Below are 24,460 nucleotides of genomic sequence, written 5' to 3' on the forward strand. Positions count from 1 at the left end.
CAGCTAATTTTTTTGTATTTTTATTACAGACAGGGTTTCACCATGTTAGCCAGGATGGTCTCGATCTCCTGACCTCATGATCTGCCCACCTCAGCCTCCCAAAGTGCTGGGATTACAGGTGTGAGCCACCACGCCCAGCCCAGAACCCAAGATTTTAAGCTTACCAATAATCCAAAATAGAGTAAATATCCTTACTCTTAAGTAGCATTCAAAACTGAGAACATGAGATACATTATGGTTTTTAAGAAAGAACAGAACATAAATATTTTGGGGAGAAGTATCTATAGGTCTCCCACATTTTTTCATGTCTTGCAACCAGATACTGCCAGCCTTTCAAATTATCCTTTCAGGAACATTTGTGTATCAAACAGCCTTAGATAATAGGGACAGTGTTTTCCTCTGGAGAAAAAAAAAAAAAGAGGGTTACAGTCCAGTTCAATAAAGATAATGTCTCCTTCCAGAGCAAGAGTCAGGCAGGTTTACTGTCCATTATAAAAATTCAGGGTCCTTAGGCTTGGGATTCATCTGTAATGCCAGCCACTGCACATGCAGGTGTCTCCTGCCCTTTATACTGTCCTATAGAAACTGAGGGTTGGTGACCTGGCACAAGTGATGACCCCTTGCCTAATGCTGTCCCTCTGTGACTAATAAATGGTTCATTTTCCCCGACCAAATATTCTCCTGTCTTCTGCTAGCCCTGAAAGTATGGCAAAGTAGCTTCAGGCTCTTCGCAGTCCTTGACAATATATTTTTAAAGAAATATGCCTTAAAGCCAAGTTATACCATGTTTAAATGAAGAGTGTCTGTTTATCTCTCAAAAAGAGATATCTGGCTATCTCCTTTGACAATTTAGACTGACTAAACAAACACCGTTTCTCCCTTGCCCTTCTTTACTATGGAGGCTGAAATTTCAAAGTTTCAATATACCGCTACCTTTGTAACCTGGAGTGACCCAGTGGCTTAAATAATATGGAAGAGAATCTGCTAGAGAAGCAAGTAGGTGGTAAGGTACTGGGACAGCTTTGCAATTCAAGATAAGAAGACAGACACGTGTGGAGTTGCCCTTCCCCTTTCCTGCCTTGTGTCCTTAAAAAATGAAGCTGCAACAGGAATTCCACAACTGTGAAGGGAACAGAATGAAGATAAAACCCAACATGCTAAGGAAATGAATTACAATAAGCCAGAAAGAGCCTGGGTCTCTGACAGCATTGTACTGTTAGATGGGTATTGTTACTTTTAGCCAACTTATATACTCAGTCTGTGTTGATGAAACTTACATATAATGCAACTTATATGATGGATTGGTGTTGATAAAATAGTTTTAAAATTTTACTCTCCAAAAATTAGATAGGTACTTTAAGCCAAGGGTTGGCGAAGGACCACCCAATGGTCAAATTTGGTCTGGCTCATTTTTGTAAATAAATTTTTATCAAAATACAGCCATGTCAATTAATTTACAGACTGTCTATGTCTGCTTTCCTAGTACAGAGGCAACGCTGACTAATTGCCAGAGACCATCTGGCAAAGTCTAAACTATTTACTATCTGGCTCTGTACAGTTTGCTGACCCATGGTTTAAACCATTCAACATGCCACTTTCAGAAACAATCATTTACTCTTGTTTAAACTAAAATCCTCAAATTGATTTCCTAAAATTTGAATTGAAATCATGTTTAATACTCCATATTTTAATATTAAAGACAAAATGAATGTGGTGTTTGTTGCCTTCTCTTTGTCACCAACATGGAAAACACTTCCCAATTATTTATTTTCTATGTGCAATAGGGAAAAGTTTATAAACAGATTTAATAAGTTATAATTATTCTAATTAATCCTCCAGAGATTATCACAAAATTAAAGAAAACAGGGATTGTTAAGAAATAACCAGGGCTATTAATATTATAAATGTAAATTAAATGTACATATTTGTATTACTAATAATTTCTAAAGAGAGATGGCACTTTATACATTAAAATCGGTAAGAATGTTAAAAAAAGGTACTTACAAATTCAATTATATCAATAAATACAAAAATGTATTATTGGGAAATGCAGAATATGCCATGTTTTCCAATATATTTATAAAAACTAATGCATAAATTAACCATGCATTACACACCTGAAAAAAACTTATTTCAGCTACAGACCTTTACAAAAAATAATTACAAGTAATTTTGTTTGCTATTATATTCTATTAATCCAAGTTTTTCAAACCTCCATGACATGTTCTAATGGGTTTCAACTTTCTTCCCCTCCTTAGTATAAATGTACACTGCCATATTTGGTCACTGTTAGGGACTGAATGGTGTCCCCTAAAAAGATATGTTTAAATTCTAACCTCAATCCTACCTGTCAATATGACCTTGTTTCAAAATAGCATCTTTGCAGCTGTAATGAAGTCAAGATGGGGTCACAAGGGTAGGCTCTGATCCAAAATCACTGGTGTTTTTGTAAGAGGGAAATTTGGACACACACGTACATACACAGAGAACACTGTGTGATGACAGAGCAGAGAACAGACTTACGCTGCCATAAGCTAAGGAATTCCTGGAGCTACCAGAAACTGAGACAGACAAAGAAATTACCTATTCTAGAGGGTTCTGAGGGGCAAGGCCCTGCTGGCTGACACCCTGATTTCAGATTTCTTGCCTCCAGAAATGTGAGAGAATAAATTTCTCTCGTTTAAGCCACCCAGTATGTGGTACTTCGTTACCGCAGCCCGAAGAAACAAATACAGTCACACATTTGTGATTATATGTGAAAGTGGTATATTATAATCACATGATCAGATGTTCAAAGTAATACATTTCAATAGAACATCTAAATTATCTTTCAGTTTAATTTGTTCTTCAATGTTTCCACTGAACAACAGAGCCTCAATCTCTCTTTATTATTTTAATCTATAAAGGGCACTTTTTGTAATGATCTCATGTGTCTTGCTGTTTACAGCACATCTATGAACCATTGATGTATACATATATCCTCAAACAAAAACTCATGCTCAAACAATAAATCTGAAGAGACAAAAGATTAATATTTTTAAAAGATTTAGAAAACGGAATGGTTATGAAGTACTTCACATCAAAACAATCAGACATGAATACTATTTTACACCCTACCCAATTAGCACTGAATGCTAATCTGTTTGGATTCTTGGAAACTCCACTTCTTTGTTAAATCACTGAAAAACAAGACTCTTCTTGGGCTAGATTCCAAGCACTCTTGAGGCTATAGGATTATCACTGTAGCTTGTCTGTTTTATAAACAAACTTTAATTTAGTTTTGTAAGAAACTGCCAAAGGAGCTTTCTTTAACTAAATAACAACTCTGCCACTTGAAAGACATCATTCATCAACTTTCTTTGTGGGAGTATTGTTATTATGAAACTAAAAGCAGGCATTCTTTCTTGAGTGCTTCTGGATTTTAATTATCAAATTTTAATGTCACCAGATATTTACTGAAAGGAAAACATCAATTTTAATAAGCTACCTAAGACTGAAAAACATAAACGGTATTCCACTGCAAAGCCAAGTTCACTTGAGTCTTGTGAGTTTGCTTAATATATATAATAATTGGTATCATTCTCAGGAATATATAAACATTTAACAAATGCTCATCTGTGGGGGAAAAAAGTCCTCAATTTTAATATCCAAATATCATATGTGCATAATATATAATCTGATTTAGAAGAAATTAAAATACTTGCAATAAGTTTTAGTTACTAAGAAACCAGGAGTTGGGGGCTGAACAGTATTAACATGGGGCTTAGAAAAAAAAAAAAAAACTAAACTAAATAAATGAAATAAATAGCAAATAAATGTATTACAAGTAAGCATTTTATTAAAATTTAAAAAGCTAATGGTGGAATTCATTTTAATTACATCTGAATAATTTCGTTTTCTTTTGTATTTTGTAAAATATACCCTAGAGAGGAAACTGCTATTAAAAAAAAAAAACTTTCACTTTTCATTGAAAAATCAACAAGAAAATTACATTGTATCTAGCTAGCTAAGCAGCAGGGGTGCAGTTAGCCAAATACACAGGGCCATAAAGTCCTTAACAGTCAAAGATTCTGCAAGCTCTCACCTGCCTCCCCTAACAGACTCCCTTTGTTTAACTTTGAAAACATTTGTCTAAATAACTTTCTTGTGGCCTCTACTTTCATGGTGTGTTAAAGAAATGAGCCCCTTCATTTCCAAACTTTAGAAAAGTCTATTCACACCACTCAGATGCTTGAAATATGCATAAAAACATTCTCATCAAGATAAAATAAACTTTTTATTCATTTACAATAAATCAATCTCAGAAGATTTTTCAAGCTTTCTAAAGCAAATTCTACTTCCTATCTGGCAGACATACTTCTACATAAGAGATTGATTACTATTTGTCTTCTGAATCCAAGATAAAAATTATTATTTTGAAGTATCAAAAATTCATATTTTCATTCCTCTAGTTTCCCATTTAAAAGGAAAAAATGCCTTGAATGCAAACAAATATAGAAAAAATGAGTAAATGTATATGTTTATATCAAAATACTTGTGTTCAAAAGAAATTAGTTGCCTATTTTGATTTATTTAGAAATATTTTCTACTTGCAATTGGTCCTTTGTCCTCATCAAATTCAAAATAATTGCAATTTTCACCATTAGTAAACAAAAAAAGGAGAAACAGAAAAACTAGGTTAATTTTTTAAATGTAAAATTATTTTAATGATGAATATAAGCCATTCCCTTTCATGTATCATTACATATTTCATAGATATCCAATATAGTATAATTTATTTATAAAAGACAAACCTTCTTAAGATTCTCTTGCAAATAATTGTTATAATAACAAAAACAATATTTTTACTATAGAAACTACTACTAAAGTTGAAATATTAACAGACTGAGGTAGCAACAGTAGCATTTAGTCTGAAACAACTTAATTTTCATTTGTGACATTGAAATGTCTGAGGTGAAAATGTTATGAATAACCAGAAAATAATTTAATAACTGAAAAAATGTAAATTGGAGTCAGGAAGCCAACCAAAGTTACAAAGAACACTGGGAGAAGAAATGGCATCAGAGCATGAGATTTCCTGGCTCCACATTCCTGTACTTAGTTAAACAGCACTTTTTTCATTTTCTTCTCACAATATACAGAACTATGAGAAAATGTGGTAATTGATGTAGCATTATAAACATGCCCATTAAACTGTGAGGTCCAGTAACTATTAAAACTACCACTTAAAGCACAAATTACACATACAGATCAATCTCTTTATATGGTAAACTGAAAACCTGTGAGGACTTGCAAAACTATTTCAATGACCATGCTATCAACATTTGTATAAATATAAATTTAAGCATTTAAATTAATACTACTGTATTCTTTACTCAAAGCAATGATGTCATACAGTAACATAAGGAAAGAAAGTAGGTTTGTTTGCAGCTTTTGTTTTGTTGTTGCTCTTGTTATTATTGTGGCTGCTGTTGCTTTTGATTCAACTTTTAACCATGTATCTTCAACGTACCAATTGCAAAATGTTTTTTGGTACACTATCTTGTAAATAACCAACACAAGTAGAAACAGCAAGCATAGTGATCTGTAGTCCTTTAAGGGGAAAGGCACTTTATTAATGGAGCAGATTACAAATTATTCTTTGTTTAGCCAAACAGTCAATGGAGAAAAATATTTCTGCCGGATGCTCCTGAAGCCTTTTAAATACAGGCTAGCTTCTTCTAGAGCTAATTTTTCTATGTCAAATACTTTTTTTAACTACAGAACATGTAACCCTCCACCACACACACACACACACACACACACACACACACACACCCCATTTTGTCATTTATTTTTTCTACAACACTGGTTATTAAGGCATGATTCAAAGGCTCTGAAATGACATTAATGTTAATGTTAAGGCAACATCTATGTTTTCCTCTCTGGCCAGAGCTTTTGTTAATCTTTATTTTCTTCACAGTCTATCAAAGGCAGAGCTATTTTTTCCACCTCAGTTGACTTTTTTTCCAGTGGTTGTCTAGCAGTGTGTAGGAGGGGAAAATGGGTTGTAGCACCCTGGCTCACTCAAGCAGTTCAAAAATAGGGAAAATCTCAGTATCCTTCGGCCATCATCTGAGTGTTTTAAAAAACACAGTGGCCAACACCAGACCTTGCAGAGCAGCTGATTAATACACACTTTTCAGAAGAAATAAATTTTACTATTAAAATGGTTAACTGATGAAACTGCCAGTAAAATCATAGAAATGCCTCCTATCAATTATACATTTGTTAGCAATGACAACCTTCACATCCATTTTTACTTGCGCCACTAAAACTTTAAGTAATATAATACTTAGAGTTTCTCCTTTTCTCTATGCTTCAAACTACAGACTTCTCCACATGTTCTTTACCTTCTCTCCACACATACACACACATACACATGCAAGCTTTATGCTTGTCAGAAATCACTGAATTACTCTTCCCAGAAATGTCAGCTCAGAATGGTTTAGACACCCAGCTGGAGTAGCACCAACTCAGTGTGACATTGAACTGTTTGCAGGAAAAGAGAAAGAAAGAAAAAGAACAAAACAACAGAGCACCAGCAACAACAACAATTTGGGAAAAATGATATAAAAGATGAAGGTTTACTGTATCAGTCGGGGGAGGCATGCAGCCTGCTCATGCCTTTTCTCTACTAGAAATCATTATCTACTCTCAAGGCAAAAGACTTTCACTGTGCCCTAAATATCTACTTCAGTAGCATATACAATTATGTGACTATAATTTCTACCTCTCTCCTTCTACACAGGACCTAAGTAACTAGGAAATGTATTGAATGCCATTTACTTCTTTATCTTTCTATTTATTACATTTATGTAAAATTGCTTTAAAATTCGGGCTACTCATTCATCATTAACAATCAACTAAAATTTTAAAAAGCAATCAGTTCAGAATTGACACCTAAATTTTTTCTCATCTCCCCTTAAATGTATAACAATCCGCATTTATTGTTGACACAACAGAGGTGCAGGAACATTAAAATATGCATTTTGATTCATGTACTCATCCAGCACAATTTCTTCAATAAAGCGGGCAGAATCACATGAAGTAATACTGATTAAGTCAATTAACTCCAAATTACTGTTTCTACTATTACTGTCCTTCATTTTTAGCTCAATTATAGTAATGTCCCTAGTGAGCTACTTACAGAATCAAAGAAACAATTCTGTAGTGAATTTATAATATTCCCAGTAACCAGCGTTGTCATACCGATTAGGTGGAGTCATTCTACTAAACCATATACTTTGTTGCCTAACTACCTTTGATTGTTTTGCTTATGTAGAAACATTTCATGGGAGACTTTTAGGTTCTGATTGGTAATGTACAGATTTTCATAGATCAATAGATCTCATAATGCTGACTATTCAGAATGAGGCCACTCTGTAAATGAAAACATGCTAAGAAGACTCTTCTGTGTTCTGTAGAGCAAAATGCCTCAGAGCTCCATGTGCAATGGCACATTTTAGACTCAGTTTGCATTTGGAATCCTAAGGGAACCTAGAAGTGAATGTGTCCAAATATATTACTAGAAAAAGAAACACAGTTCGAAAGTTTATGTGCCTGTTATGGTGTACCAAGAATGGTACATTATTATGAATTGTTATGAAACATTTATCAAATGTAAATTCTGCATAAACACAGCTGGCCACAGAACATTGTCAGTAAACAGAACAAGGATAACAGTAATATCCAATTAAGGATATGCTATATCAGCATAGAAACCAATAAATTTTGTCTTAGGGTTGCATTTAGGACAGTGAACAAAATTCACTTGGACACTTAAAATGCAGGCAAGAATACACAGAATGAGTGACCTCATTGTGAATAGTCAGCATTATGAGAGCTATCAAAATCTATGGGAATCTATACATTATCAAACAAAACTTAAATGTCTCCCATGAAATGTTTCCACATAAGCAAAACTATCAAAATTATCAAATGGAAATTATAAAACATCTACTGAGTTAGAAAATGTTTCAAGTTTCCACAGAAGATGTAAAAGTGGGATACAAGTTTACCACATCATATATGATTACATCCAATTAAAACACTGTATCCACTCAAATTCCTAGTCAAAGGAGTTATATGCCTTGTCAATGTACTGATACCCTAAAGAGTAAAATTTAATGGATGACTTGGCTGGATCAGGAAGAATTTCAAAACTACTAAATTTGAAAAAAGAATTATAAAGACATTTGTAAAGAACTTAGTTTTATTAGGTCAATGGCAGAAATACAATGTGAAAAATAAAAATTTAACATAAATATCTGACTTCCCAAGATGTTAGCACTTCTTGAAAAGTGTACAAGAATAAACAATCACTATAATATTTCTCTACCTTACTTCTGTCACACTGTGGCAACTCAAATTCCTCTTGTTATTCCTGGAGAATTTTAAAGCATTAATTAATGCTAAAAGGCAACAGGAAGATTCACCACCCTCAAGATGAATAAACTGTGGCCCAAGAATATTAAGTGACGAGCCCAAAGTTACATAATTGGTTAGACGTCTACGAGTATGTTTGGGTTCATCTCTAATTGAGAGAGAAAATTATAAATTATAAATATATAATTATGCCATTTTACACCTGGAAGAGGGTTTTTTATGTTTGAATTTGATGGTTTTACTTGTTATGGGTATTTGGCCAGTATTCATAGAAAATTTAGAGTTCACATACCTCCATAACTGAATTTTCTATTTTACAACCCTATGAGGCCAGTTTTTCTGACCTGAAAGAAATATTAGAGGTTTCTTAAAGGTTTTCCTATGTCAGAAAACTAAATACAGAGAGGTTAAGAGTCTCACACTAAAATTTAACTAACATGTTAAGACACTATATATTTTCATTAATATTGGTTTTCCAATTTGGAAATCTAAATAAACTATCACTATCATGAATATTCCATATATATTTAAAATAGCCCAGAAATGGAAAACTCTATCATTTTCCTTATTTTGTTTAAGATAGATCCTGAAATTTAACATTAGAATGGCCAAACAATAAACTTGAATGAGGATATCTAAATGAAGAATCCTGGCTATAAAATTAGGATTTGGTTGATGTCAATTCAGTCTTTGCCAGCCCAGTTCAGTTTCTCACTTAAGTCAAAATACACAGATGGAAGTTACATCTCCCACCCACATCTACCACATCCGCAGATTCAATCAAACTATGTCTTTAAAACACTTGTCTCCAATACCAAATTCTGGTGTGGATGTGGAGCACCAAGAACTGTCATTCGTTGCTGGTGGGAATGAAAAAGGGTAGAGCCACTTTGGAACCAGTCAAGGGGTTTCTTACAAACTTTCTTGAAAGTTTCTTATGTGCTTTCTAAACTTATGCATACCCTGAAAATCTAGCAATCTTGCTAGGTATTTTACCCAAATGAGTTAAAAGCCTAAATCCACATGAATACCTACACACAAATATTTATTGCAACTTTATACATGATTACCCAAAAAATGGAAGCAACCGAGATGTACTTCAAGGTGTGAGTGAAAAACCAAACTGTGATGCAACCACACAATGGAGTATTATTCAGTGGCATAAAGAAATGAGCTACCAAGTTATGAAAAGACATGGAGGAACCTAAAATGCAAATTGTTAGGTGACAGAAGCCAATCTGAAAAAGTTACATATTGTGTGAGTCCAACTATGTAACACTGTGGAGAAGGCAAAACTGCACAGACAGTAAAAAGATCAGCGGTTGCCATGGGTTCAGGGGGGGAAGTGAGACAGTAAGTAGATCACGGGGCATTTTTAGGGCAGTGAAACAATTCTATATAACACTGTAATGGTGGATATATTACATTATGCATTTATGGAGCATAGAACAGCACAACACAAAAAGTGGACCCTAATGTAAACTCTAGGCTTTAGTTAATAATAATGTATCAACAATAGTTTATCAACTATAACACACTACACCAATGCAAGATGTGAACAGGAGAAACTGCTTGGGCAGAGGAGATTTATGGGAACTGTAATTTCTGAATAATTTTCCTGTAAACCTAAAATGACTCTGAAAATGAAGTCTATTAAAACATTGAGAATACTGTCTCATGAACTAGCTACTATCATAAGTAAATTCACATAAAGCTATTAATGTTAAAAGCAAATACAGTCATGAACCCCGTAATGACATTTCAGTCAAGGACATTTCAGTTAATGACAGACTGCATTTATGTTAGTGCTTTCATAAGATTATAATGGAACTGAAAAATTCCTATCACCTAGTGATGTCATAGTCATCACAAGGTCATAGTGCAACATATTACATGTTTGTGGTGATGCTGGTGTAAACAAATCTACTGTGCCACCAGTCACATAAAAGCATAGCACATACAATTATGCATAACACATACTTGATAATGATATTATAATAAGTGACTATATTACTAGTTGATGTATTTACTATACTATAAACTTTTTAACATTATTTTATAGGGTATTCCTTCTACTTATTAAAAAACAGCTAACAGTAAAAGGGCCTCAGGCAGGCCCTTCAGGAGGTATTCCTGAAGGCACTATTATCACAGATGATAGCTCCATGCATGTTATTGCTCCATGCTAAAATGCAAATTGTTAGGTGAAAGAAGCCAATCTGAAAAAGTTACATATTGTGTGACCTTCCAGTGGAATAAGATGTGGAGGTGGAAGACAATAATATTGATGATCCTGACACTGTGCAGGCCTAGGCTAATGTGTGTGTTTGTGTCTTAGTTTTTAAAAAGTTTATAAAATTTTTTTTAAAACTTAATTTTTTAACATTTTTTAAAGCTTATAGGGTAATATAGAAAGAAAATATTTTTGTTAAGCTAATTGTTAATACCAGAGTCAAAAAGTTAAAAAAAATTAAAAGTTTATCAAGTTTAAATGTGACAGTAGGCTGTTCATATTGGAAAAGAAATTTTTTTTATAAATTTAGTGTAGCCTAAGTGTACAATGTTTCTGAAGTCTGCAGTAGTGTACAGTAACAGTCCTAGGCCTTCACATTCACTCACCGTTCACTCACTCACTTCCAGTCTGGCAAGCTCCATGCATGTTATACAGGTTATTACAGGTTATCCATTTTTATCTTTTATACAGTATTTTTTTTTTTGTCCAGGCTGGAGTGCAATGGCACAATCTCAGCTCACCACAACCTCCACCTCCTGGGTTCAAGCGATTCTCCTGCCTCAGCCTCCCGAGTAGCTGGGATTACAGGCGTGTGCCACCACGCCGGGCTAATTTTGTATTTTTAGTAGAGACAGGGTTTCTCCATGTTGGTCAGGCTGGTCTCGAACTCCCGACCTCAAGTGATCCGCCCACCTCAGCCTCTCAAAGTGCTGGGATTACAGGCATGACCCACCACGCCCGGCCTTTTATACAGTATTTTTACCATACCTTTTCTATGTTTAGGTATATTTAGATACACACATACTTACCATTGTGTTACAACTGCCCACAGTATTCAGTACAGTAACATACTGTATAGATTTGCAGCCTAGGAGCAATAGGCTACATCATACAGCCTAGGTGTGCGGTAGGTAATACCATCTAGCTCTGTGTAAGTACACTCTATCATGTCCACACAACAATGAAATTGTCTAAAAATGCATTTCTTGTAAAGTATCCCCATCGTTAAGTACCACATGACTATATACAAAGCGACTCACATTTACCCCAAAACAATTACATGGTGACGTTTAGGTTAACTATTAAGTAAAAAGCAACATAAATGACCTTTACACCAAAACATCTGAAATATTCTTCTTACCTGTCCTGTGACTGTTCTTCATACATTCTCTCCTTGCCTTCTTTAAAGAGTCTTATTGCCCGTTTTGACTTTTTCATAAGGCTATCAATGTAGATTTTAAAGTACTCATTCTCACTGAGTTGGGCAAGTTTCTGGTTGTCATCATATTTACTCAATATAAGTCGTAAATGCTGATATGTATCAGGCAAAATATCAAGTATATATGGTGGGCTATTTTTCAACTGAAGTTTGGGATTTTGGCACAGTCTTACCTAAAAACAAAGATAAAAATAAAATAAGTCATAATATTTTATTTCACAGAAAAATTAAAAAGTTAGAGAACCATGTCCTATTTCTTCATTTTTCCATAATATAAATAATGATCTTAACTTACTATCTCCAATTTATTAACTGATAGTCACGTTTGTCATAATATAAATAAATCCTATTCTGTTCTCCTACCATTCAATCTTTTCTATATCATATCCTTATTTTGAACCTCTAAAGTTTAATTCTAAGATACCTCATTGTGCATAGCTTAAAAGAACTCCAGTATGCTAATCACTGTATATCACTGATAGTCTTTTTTTTTAAATAAAAATGAGGAAATGGGCCTTCTCTGTTGACAACCAATGTCTCACATTTATATGTTATTTTACTACACTGAATTCCCAGCTGTTGCTGTCTCATAGTTTGTTAATTAGCGTTTTGGTGTACTGTTCTGAACCCCGAGGACAATAAAACAAAGAGGTGCAATTTGAATAACTGAGTTATTAAGTAGTAAATGTGTGTCAGGTCAGAACCAGTCTTTTCCACCTCCCCATACTGTCTACCACGCCTATAAACATGTGGCATATAACGGTTCAGTCATCCCATCACAGGTGCTGCCCAACCACTGGGGCGTTCAGGGGCTGCCTGCAGAACTGAAAGTACCTTCTGCCGGCCAGAGAAGGTAGTAATCCAACTAATGTATTCACTTCTACATGTTCATGTGATTTAGCCAAGAGTAAGTTAGTCCACCACATTCTTATCCCTCCAGAAAGGGCATAATCAACTCTTTACATAAATAACTTTCAAATGAAATAATTGAGAATTGCACAGTAGCATTATATAGTGTAATGGGACAGCACTCTTACAAAAGGTTAAATGTTCACATAAAGATCATAAAGATACATGGCTCTCTTCTAAGGCCCTCGTTGTATTTTTTTTTTTTGTCAAATTGTCAAGAGTATATCTTATTTTATTTTATTGTTTTTTTAAGACGGAGTCTCATTCTGTCACCCAGGCTGGAGTGTAGTGACACGATCTCAGCTCACTGCAACCTCTGCCTCCCGGGTTCAAGTGATTCTCCTGCCTCAGCCTCCCAAGTAGCTGGGATTACAGGTGCCTGCCACCGCACCTGGCTAATTTTTATATTTTTAGTAGAGACGGGATTTCACCATCTTTGTCAGGCTGGTCTCGAACTCCTGACCTTGTGATCCACCCGCCTCGGCCTCCCAAAGTGCTGGGATTACAGGTGTGCGCCACCGTACCCGGCCTAAGAGTATAATATCTTAAACATAATTGGCTAAAGCCTCCTGTTGGGTGGCACTGGAGTGGCTGTGGGTATTTTTGGAATCTGGCTAATGGAAATTTGAATTGAAGACACATTTACTTTGGGTTTAATGGAAGGTATATGTGAGGCATACAGTCACTCCTGTAAAATGGTTTAATTACTGTCAGCAATCCCAATGAAACTGAAATAAGGCAGGCAAAGAAAGAATATACTATTAATATATGATCTCATTTTCACATGCAAAATCTTAAAAGAAGGAGTTAAGCAACAAAGAAACAGAGAGTAGAACAGTGGGTGGGCCCCAGGGATGGGGAGGGGAAGAAATGGAGAGAAGAAGGTCAAAGAGTACAAATTTGAAGTTATGTAGGATAATTAATACTGGAGATCTAATGTACAGCATGAGGCCTATAGCTAATAATACTGTATTCTGAAAATTTGCTAAGAGAACAGAGTTTAAATGGTCTTACCACAGAAAGGTAATTATGGAAGGTGAAGGATATGTTAATTTATTTGATGTAGTAACCATTTCACTATGTGTATATATATCAAAGCATCATGTTATACACCTTAAATAAATACAATATTTTTTAAATCTGTAATAGAACTTTTTTTAAAAGATGGTTTTAGAAATACCTGAGGTGCCCACAATGCTGACTAGCCTACCATGGGAACAGTGAAATCCAATTCAAATCTGGCAATTTGAATGTGTTTCATGACACCCAAAACTGGAAGTATATGCGGTAACGGAAGATAATCAAAGTATAAAATGTACAGAGCCAAAAACTAGTCTAGATTATTTCTCTAATCACTTGTAGATATACCGGCTTTTTAAAAACTATAGTGCTTTGTGGATTTTTCTCATTCTAAAAAAAATTCACTTTCATAAACAATTTGATGTTTGTACTTTCGTATTCTTTATATTTAGAAAGATTCTTTCAAATCATATAAGTTTCAGGGGACATAAAACATGGATCTGCCTCTGGGCACCCATAAAAGTGCCTGGGACAAATAAACAATCGAACTATAATAACTTCAAGCATAACGAACACAATAAATCAAGGAACTAACAAATTTAAAGGGTACTCTTATACACACTATCACACTTACTTTCTTAAAGAAATTGGCCAGGCGCAGTGGCTCACACCTGTAACCCCAGCACTTTGGGAGGCCGAGACAGGCAGATCATGAGGTCAGGAGTTCGAGACCAGCCTGGCCAACATGGTGAAACCCTGTCTCTACTAAAAATACAAAAAGTAGCTGGGTGTGGTGGCAGGTGCCTGTAATCCCAGCTACTAAGGAGGCTGAGGCAGGAGAATCACTTGAACCCGGGAGGCAGAGGTTGCAGTGAGCTGAGATCACATCACTGCACTCAGCCTGGACAAGAAAGCAAGACTCCATCTCAAAAAAAAAAAAAAAAAAAAGAAAAGGAAAAAAAAAAGAAATCACTGGGGATCAGGGTTTTTTTCAGAGGGAGTAGATGGAGAGAAAAATCTGGTTCAAATTTCCAACCATCAGCCTCTAATTTAAGATGTTTTTCACATTAACCCAGGGCATGATCTTATATTCTTCCTCTTTGTAAACAATGCCTTAAAGCAGAATTGCTGAGTACATAACCAACAAATTAATGGATTGGTTGACTGCTATTTTTTTTTCACAAATAGTTTGATTGTATTATTTCCTTTATTTTTACAATTGAACTCTAAAGTATCAAGTATTCAAATTAATAATCCAAAGGTATAGGCTTAGTTAAAAAGTAATAATAGTATTTTTATCTCCAAGAAAGTCCTTGGAAAGGTAAGATGTCATCTCATTTACTAAATAACAGCAAATCTTTACAAAGTATAGTGAAAATGGCTGACAGAGCTTTTTTTACCCCCTTTTTAATACGTGATACGTTAGTATAATCAGAGTTCATTCTGCCCTAAAGATTAAGTCCCAAATATGCCAATTATTTAACAAATCCTGCTTGAAAAAGAATATGGTTTTTAAATTATTTAAACCAAAAATACTATCACAAGTATACATAAATACCAAGAATATTGCCACCAACATTCTACAGCAGGCATAGTTTAATGTCAGCAACATAAAACTTGGTGTAACATGTCACAGACTGATACATTATTTTCTTCTAGTTTGGGGACCAGGTAGCTTCAAATTCATTTCCTCTACTAGAGAACTTTTTAACTGATACATACAAAATTTCTGTCAGGTATTTTTTTTCCAGACATTCCACATAAATATTCTTTGACAGAAACGTTTATGTTTTACAAATATTTAATTCACTATTCTTTATCTGAACTTTTTTCTCATTTGCTTTATTTAAAACTGTAATTCCATGTGGGAATTTATTGCTTTATCAGGTGGAAATTGCTTGAACTACTATATGCCAGGTACTGAGCTTAGAGCTAGGAAATTATAGATGACTAGAACATACTTCCTGATTCAAAGAGATGCAAAGAGTCTGGCAGAAGAGACGTAGTTCTCTATAATTAACTTAAGAGCAATGTAATTCTTGCTCTAAGGGATCTTAGTAAAGATTCCACCCAATCCATTCATTTCCAGATTTAAAAAAACTAAGAACTAGAAAGATTAAGGGACCATTAAAATATCATTAATCCAATACAAGAGCTTGTATCTTCTGAATCTCGGGCTGATCTTTCTAACTGTATCACAATTTAATTAAAATTAGGCATATAATTAATGATCCCTGCTAAACTCATTTACATTTTTATTTTATTCCATTTGCAAATTTACGTAAACTTCAGGACCCATTTGTTAATTCAACAAACATTTATGTGGCAGGCATTGTTTCAGGCTCTAGGGAACACAGAAAGGAATAAATCACACACCTGCCCTCAAGCAGCTGCCTAGTGGGAAAGACTGGTGGCTTAGGAAAAGAATTACAGGAGAATTTAGTGCTATGATGGAGGCAAGTACAAACTGCTACAGGAGAAAAGCAGCAGCTCACTCATCTCCACATAAGAGTGTCAGGAAATACATACTTAAATTTGCCAAAAGGAGTATTCTAGGCAAAGGAGTGTGCTAAGGCTTAAGAGACACCAGAGAGCAAGCATGTTAAGAGAGAAGTAAATGCAGTTATTCTAAAAGATCAGAGCATAGGAAGGAAGGCTGTGAGTGAGTAGTACGAGAGATCTGAAATAGGCCAGAGTCAGTTCATCAAGGCCCTGTAGGCTAAACTGTTTTCTAAATTTGCACTTGGGAAAGTGCAACATACAATGCTGAACTACGGTATGCCACTGGGTGCGCAGTTCATCAGTTGGATTACTATTAAACCCTGTGATTTATGACAGCTTCTGCCAAAAATGAATAACCCTACATCAGGACTATGACTTCTAAGCAGGTCAAATTCAATTCCATTCAATAAATATTTATTGAATACCTGCTATGTGCAAGGAGCTGCAAAAGCCAGGAAAGAAAAATTGCTTTTCTAAAGGCAGTATATTAGAGAGAAAATCAAGCTCACCACCAGGGTCAAGTTCAGATTCAAATGGTTACACCTCTTCTAGAAATACCTAAATTGCTTCCTAGAATGAAGCTTGGTACTAACACAGAAGAGCTTTGACAAAGAACAAATCTGTAGTCACATTATAAAATGATGAACTTTGTAGGGCACCGATTGGTGCATAAAAGAATTGGTTCAATAGCAATATTGCTCTTTTCTGTTGAACTAAAAGGCAAAACATTTATTATTGGAATTAGGCTGAAAATTCCACTATAGCCATTGACTCAAAAAATTTGGAAATTACCAGGACCAATTCCTTTTGACGTGTCAATATTGAAATACAGAACTAGAACCTAACTAAGGTTACTGCTCAGAACCCTGATAGCTGGACTTGAGAATCAGGAACTGTCTCCATACCAATATACAACTGAGTTTTGTATTTGCTTAAATGTATTAGAAATATTTAAGGAGACTCTCTCTGTACATGCATTGTTTCACATGAATAAAAATATATTATTAATATATTGGCTATGCATTCCAATACATAAATATGTATTTAGATACATATATTCAACCATATCAAAGCAAAAGCACAAATACAAAAACAGGATTTACTAATGCTATAAGAATTTTCAAAGTCATTACTTATTCTTGGAATAATCTTGCATTTAAAGAGTTTTCTGACTGCGCCTTAATTAAAACTTCCAGCCAAAAGGTAATAAAAATGTATTAGATCAGATAGTACATTCCTTGCAAACAAGGTTCAAACCAGCCTGTGAAACATAGGAAAGAACTCTTACCAAATAAAATGAAAATTTCAACAGTAAGGAATTGTGCCTATACTATAAGACTTTCATTATAAAACACGCCTCACTTCATGGAGCATTCAGTTACACTGAATCAAGTCATATACTCTCAAGTGAACTGCCTCATTCTTAAAAACAATATAGAAAGCCCTGGGCTAGGCGCGGTGGCTCACGCCTGTAATCCCAGCACTTTGGGAGGCCGAGGCGAGCGGATCACGAGGTCAGGAGATCGAGAACATCTTGGCTAACACGGTGAAACCCTGTTTCTACTAAAAATACAAAAACAAAATTAGCAGGGTGTGGTGGCAGGCGCCTGTAGTCCCAGGAACTTGGGAGGCTGAGGCAGGAGAATGGCGTGAACCCAGGAGACGGAGCTTGCAGTGAGCCGAGATCGTGCCACTGCACTCCAGCACTCCAACCTGGGCCACAGAGTGAGACTCCGTGTCAAAAAAAAAAAAAAAAAAAAGAAAGCCCTGTCCTCCTCCTATAAATGTTAGAAGAGGTTTCTTATTACAGTGACCTAAAGTATATATATATCTCTCTCTTTATAATAACAGGTACCGAAGAGTTCTTTGGGTTCTTTCCATTTTAATGCAGCAAATAATTACTAAATATAAAAATTATAAAAATGTATTTTACTAAGTATAAAAATGTACAGTGTAAAAAAGTATAAAAATACACTTTTTTAATAGATTATTAATTGGGCAAAACAAAGTTGGCATATAAAATTGATCATGAGTCCAGCACAGCTGAATTTACAGAAAATTACCAAGACCTTTATGGTTTTCCACGAAGATGTCTTCAGAAGATTGACATTAAGAAGCACCATTAAAGAACTGACTAGTTGTAATTAAAATATCAATTGTGTATTCTGTTCACTCTCTTTCTTCCAAATGAGAATGGAACTTCCTTGAAAGTGAAGAACAGTCTTTCTCATTGGTCTCTCTCTATCACCTAATATGGAACTTTGCATATAGTAGATGTGCAACAAATATTTGATGGCAGAAAGGAGGAAGAGGAGGAGGAAGCAAACAAGGTAAGGACGAACCTCTCAGGAAAATTATATTACAAATAGCATATCCACAACTACATTGAATAAAGCTGCCTAAAAATGAGTACAAAGTTTGGAGAAGAATTTGATAATATCAAATATGGAAGTGGAGGAGGGGAAATGCCCTTTTGATTTACTTCCTTTGGAAAAAGGAAGCATCATATTATTCCATGGAGCAGTGTGCTTCACTCTTCATACTGTGAACACAGACATTAGAATCAAGCAAACCTAGGATCTGGCCCTAACATTTACTAGCTTTACAACCTTGGGCAGGGTTCTTCTTCGGGAAACCTCTTAGGATATTATAATTCTTACAAGAGGAAATGTAAAGTGCTATGCACTGTGTCCAGAACATAGTTAGCCCTATCTCCTTCTTAATATTTCTTCTCCCTTCCATATTTTACATTCCATCACAAGGCAAAATCCCTGCAGATTTTGCAAAGGTATGAAAATTAGACCAAGGGCACTGAACAGTTTGTTGAGGATCATGATTTTTAGAAGCTCTTTTAGCTCATAAAGTTACTCATGCTGCCTAAAACCCTTAAAAAGCCTGGAATGTTCTGTGCAGAAAAGCAGGAAATAAGGCTAAGCCCAGGTCAGTGTTCCTGTCAGCTGACATGGAATCCTCTGGTTTCTTCAAACCCAAGAGGCTCTCAGGAAAAGACGTAGGGCTTTAATATTTTTTTAAATCTTTTAACAGGTAGAATATTATAACTATTAATACTTTTTTCATTGATACTGTAAGATAATATAAGCTCAACAATCATCTAAATGTAACTATGTTAAAAACCTATAAAATGTGTTGGATATTTTCAAAATGTGTCTTTCATTACTTGAAAAAAATTAGCAACCTACAAATACTTAAAAACAAAAAAAACCTTTAGTAAAATTGTAATAATATTATTAATATATGCCCAAGCAGAGTAGATAAAAATAGCACTGTGGCATCCTCTAAGTCACAGCAAGTGTATAATAAGATAAACTTAATATTAAAGATGAGAATTGATTTCCATTTTAATTTTTTACTTATTTACCCACTTAAATGCTAGAAGACTAGTTAAAATACATATATTGCATATTTCATGATATAAAAATTAAAAACATGGTTTAAACATTATAAATATTATGCCTTAAATCACTTCCTGACAACCCAATATAAAATTTACAAATTCCCTCAAAACTTCTCTGTATATTCCCTTGCTTTCCTCCTGTGTAAGTGGAAGTTACATTTATTCGCCAAGATTAACCCTTCTACTTGTTCCTACTCTTTCCCTCCCACAGTTTAATCTAGAATGCTACTGCTTCAACTATTTCTTTTTCCCTTGCATCTTAGGCCATTCCCTAACTACATCCTTTCCCATCAATCTTTTTTTTTTCCCACCAATCTTTGAACCTCTCCTATGGTGTGTGCACACATACACACACACACACACACACACATACATACACACACACACACACAGAGTTATTTCAATGATGTTCAAATCCTCAAGCTAACAGAACTCCCTTCCTTTTCATTGTTGTTACAGTTCTAGAACAATTTTTAAATAATCCACATACTCATTTTAATCTCACCCCATCACATAAGTTAAACTGCTCCACAAAGGTCAATAATGGCCTCTAATCATACAATTCAATGACTTCTTAATTTTTCACCCTGTTTGGTTTTCTCTACTTGAATCTGAACTTAGTTTTATCAGAACTTCAGATTTTATCTTCTTCTTAAAGCTGTTTGTACCTAGGATGTCATTATGGTTTAATTCTACCTTTCTCATCACTAATCTATGTAGGATTCTCTTTCCTTCTCTGGTATTTAATTACACCCCTCAATCTCCCCAGAATTCAATTATCTGACTTTTTCTCTGCATTGCTCCCTCTATTCTTCCTCCGAAATCTCTGACAGTTATATAGCTTGAAATGCTATCTCTATGAGAATATCTACCAAATATGTGTCTCTTGTTTCTACTTCTCTCTTGAACTGTACACTTAATTTTCTGATTTTAAATGAAATTCACTCTGGTACACTGAACTTAGCATGGCCAAAAACTAACCCGCACACTTCCTCTTTTCCTTCTTACGTTCCTTACCTCATTAAGTGCATCACTGCCTTCGGAGTCAACTAGGCTGAAAACCTCAAGAGTCACTTTCACTGCACCTTCTCTTTCATCCTCTAATTCTAAGGGGTCACCAAGACCTGTAGATTTTACCTCCAAAATGCCTCCCACATCTGAACCAACACTTGCTACACCTACTTCCAAGTATCTAGGCCAGCATTTCATTATTTCTTGCCCAGACTGTTTTAATTCCTCTTGATCATTACTCTTGCTTTCAGTTTTTTTCTCTTAATTCAAGCTTTACAGAGTCAAGTAAGTATTCTATCAAAGCACAGCCCTGAAGTTTTCCCTCCCTGATTAACAGCCTTCAATGGTTTTCTACCAAATAAATTAAGACAAAATTATTTGACAAAAGCAATCAAAACCTCTATCATCTTACCCTAACTTCCCCTCTCTTACTCAACAATCTATCATTCCTTCAACCTAACATGTCCTCCATCTCACTGGACTCCAACCCATGAGCTGGCCAGCACCTCCTCCATGCTTCATTCTACACCAACTTTTCACCCTTAGCAAGCAACGGTTCACCTCTACCACGTACTACATCTCAGCACTTTATTTATACTACCTTAAAGCACTTACTACATTTTACTCTATGGCATAGCTATTTGGAAATGTCTGTCTTTCCATAGTTGAGATTTGATAAATGAATGATGAAATCAACAGATAGCACATAAAGCACCTTCTAAAAAGAAGAAAGAAATAGATTCAAAATCTCAATGCTAAAAATTCTGTAATATTTAAAAGACTACTAACTGATTAAGGCCTGCATTATATGAATGCCTTATATCACAGGGATAAACCAAGGTAAGTCTTCATATGATTCCTTTAAATCTTTCACTTTATCAATAGCTTTTCTAAGAAGTCATGTACCAAACTTTGGGATCACTTCATTTATCACAACACAAATTCAAAACTGAACTGAGTACTAAACAAAACTGTCCAGACAATTTGTTATTATCCCCTAACCAAGTCTACCACAACCCATGATTCTGCTAAGGTGGAACAACTTCAGTGAGGAAAAGGAAATACGTCAAGAAGTATAATTCAAATGAATGATATCCCTGGTTTTAAGGCTCTAGGAATGTAAGAGTCTCCAACTTAGTAAACACAAACAACAGGCATCTAAAACCTGTCTTAGTCCACATGGAATATCTTTCAGAGATATGAGGAACTCAGCTTAGAAAAGAAAGTTGACTTGTATTCTTTAAAATATTTATATATAATCCAAGCATCCTTGATTGACAAACTTTAAAATATATTATGATCACAATTAAATTAAAAGGAGTGTAAATTATATTTCAAGCTTGAAAAATGTACTAAATAGACTGAGGGCAAAAGGCAGGAAAAGCCTACTGGGCATCATCACTTCCTAAATGCTTTTTAAATTCTTTTGGTAATGTAATTTAAAATAAATGACGAGGACAGCAAAACAAAAATTTGAGGCAGGTACTCAGAGTGCTTTGCTCTTCAGCATCAATTAATTATTTTCTAATTTCCTAAGCATCCATGTATGCTCAGTACATTTAGTATCTATTAGATGGAAAATTGTTTCTTCTATTTTCCATCACCTGGCTAAGATTCTTATGAAAACCATGCTCAGGAACCTCACATTAATAAATTATCATTCCAACCATACTGATTAGTAATCATTTCCTTACTCTCACCTCAGCATTTCCAACAAGAACACAATAATGCTGTTCCTAAAAGGCAATGGCCAGCAGAATCCAGACAGAAAACTGTCTCAACACTGGCCAGAAAAACAAGGAGGATGTTCTCTACTCTGTTCCCACTGTACTTGGGGTTTGTAATATAGCCCTTTCCATACTACATGGCAATTATCCATTTATGTGTTTGGCTCTGATACTGTTCTCTGAGTTCCTTGACAGGTCAAAGGCGGGATTATGTCTTGTCTAGCTTCATATCCCCAGTAACGAGCACTCAGTGGAAACACAGTAGGCCCTCAAAAAATGTTTATTAAGTGTTTAAGAAACCTTGTCTCTTGAGTAGCTTCAGAACAGACTCCACATTTCATTCTGGCGCACTTGAACCTAGATATGTATTCATGATTAATACTTCTATCACTGTATCAAATAAGCATCCACTGATGTGAGGGCTTCTGGGTCGGCTATCAAATTACACATACACAGAGCTAAGGCCAGAAAATCTGTAATGGGATGTTTTGGGATATGCTACTATCTACTATTCTTTTCCTCAAAACATAGACTATGCTAACTCTGTGCTACTGATTTTCTGTTACAAAACACTCTACATCTTATAAGGAACACAACTGAGCAATTACGCTCTCCTATTCTCAGTGACCTTAGAGCAAAAGCCTGCCCTCTGAAAACAGAACATTAATTGGAAAGAATTTCAATTGACCATTTTAAATTCCAGAGGCCAAGAAATGGTAAAACTACATACTCACTAGATATTTCCCCTACAACCCAAGACTGCTTCATTATTCCCTGTAAAAATAGTTATTTTACTTTATTGGTAGCTGAAACACACTGAAATTGAAGCTTGTGTTCATATTTATACTTCCAAGATCTACCCTTGCAAAGAGGCTTCATAAGAAAAAAATATTAACTATACACTTAACTCTGCCTTTTACATACCTACCAATTAGACTTGAAAATTGCTATTTTCTGTTATTCACAAACTAAATTCATGCTATTGCAGTTATTTTTTTAAAAAGGTAATGTGTCAAGGGATTAACTTCAGAACTAATAATAAAGTTCCTGATGTAATCATCAGGACAATGTTGATATTATGAGCCACTTCCTTCACCACTAACAAATAAGAAAAGATAAACAAAAGAGGGGGATGTTTCTGTACTACACACTTATATACTGCCAATTAGTAATTATCAATGCCTTTCTATTTACTGTATCTTACAGTAAAAATAAACATACTGAATTCTTTCATAATAATTTATGCAATTTCTCTCCACAAAGCCCCTGGGTACATTCACAAATGAACACAACCATTTTCATCTTTGACAAATAATGAAGACAAACAGGCAATGTACATTTGCCAACACCCGCACCCACATCCCACTAAGTAGAGACTTTTGATAATAGATTTCCTTGTTGGGTCAAGTTTCTCAATTGGAGAGACTAAACCTAAACCCACAGAAGGGTTAATAAAATAAACAATAGCAGATGTTTAACTATCAAATAACCATCTATTTTACCATAACTCATGGTGAAATAATTAAAAGTGAATAAAACTTATGTTAACAACCAGTTACAGACCAAAATTGTGTACATCATTTTTAATGTTTCAAAAATAATGATTTTATAGTAACTATAGCTCACCACATCCTTATATAAATCTTTTTGATTTGATGTCCTAACACAAATGTACAAACACTGACCACTCAAAGTTGGAGGGTGGGGGAAAAAGAACAGCCCCTTTATAGAATCTGAACCATTTGCTGTCCACTTACGTAGCAGATAAGTTAGAGAAAAACCTTGAATTCCTTCTCTTACCCCAACTAATGATTTAGGCAGTGAGAGTGACCTTCAAATGCACACTCTTTAGCAAAGACAAGATAGGCAGCATTGTGCTTGACAAATATATGCTATTTTTCCAATTGAATAGTCCTTATTCTAAAGTATCCAATGCTAAAATCAAAACTGAACCCCAAGCAGCAAGTTGCAATATTCTGACACTATGACATCATTCT

At 34.9% G+C, this 24,460-nt stretch overlaps 1 protein-coding gene across 42 annotated transcripts in view; it reads right to left on the minus strand.

The window, feature by feature from the left end:
* Window positions 1-24,460, minus strand: part of CBLB (Cbl proto-oncogene B) — a 213,989-nt gene that overhangs the window by 186,152 nt on the left and 3,377 nt on the right. For 41 of the 42 annotated variants that reach the window (NR_135810.2, NR_135811.2, NR_135808.2 and 38 more), the window contains one exon: window positions 11,802-12,052. Coding sequence is in view for 24 of the 42 variants with exons in the window: in XM_011513257.2 (XP_011511559.1) it covers window positions 11,802-12,052 (251 nt within the window). In the remaining 18 variants the exon portion in view is untranslated. Of the gene's footprint in view, window positions 1-11,801; window positions 12,053-24,460 lie in introns of those variants that run through there. The other variant, XM_047449116.1, reaches the window with a different exon arrangement.

Source organism: Homo sapiens, chromosome 3 (genome assembly GCF_000001405.40).
Source record: "Homo sapiens chromosome 3, GRCh38.p14 Primary Assembly".
Lineage (NCBI taxonomy): Eukaryota > Metazoa > Chordata > Mammalia > Primates > Hominidae > Homo > Homo sapiens.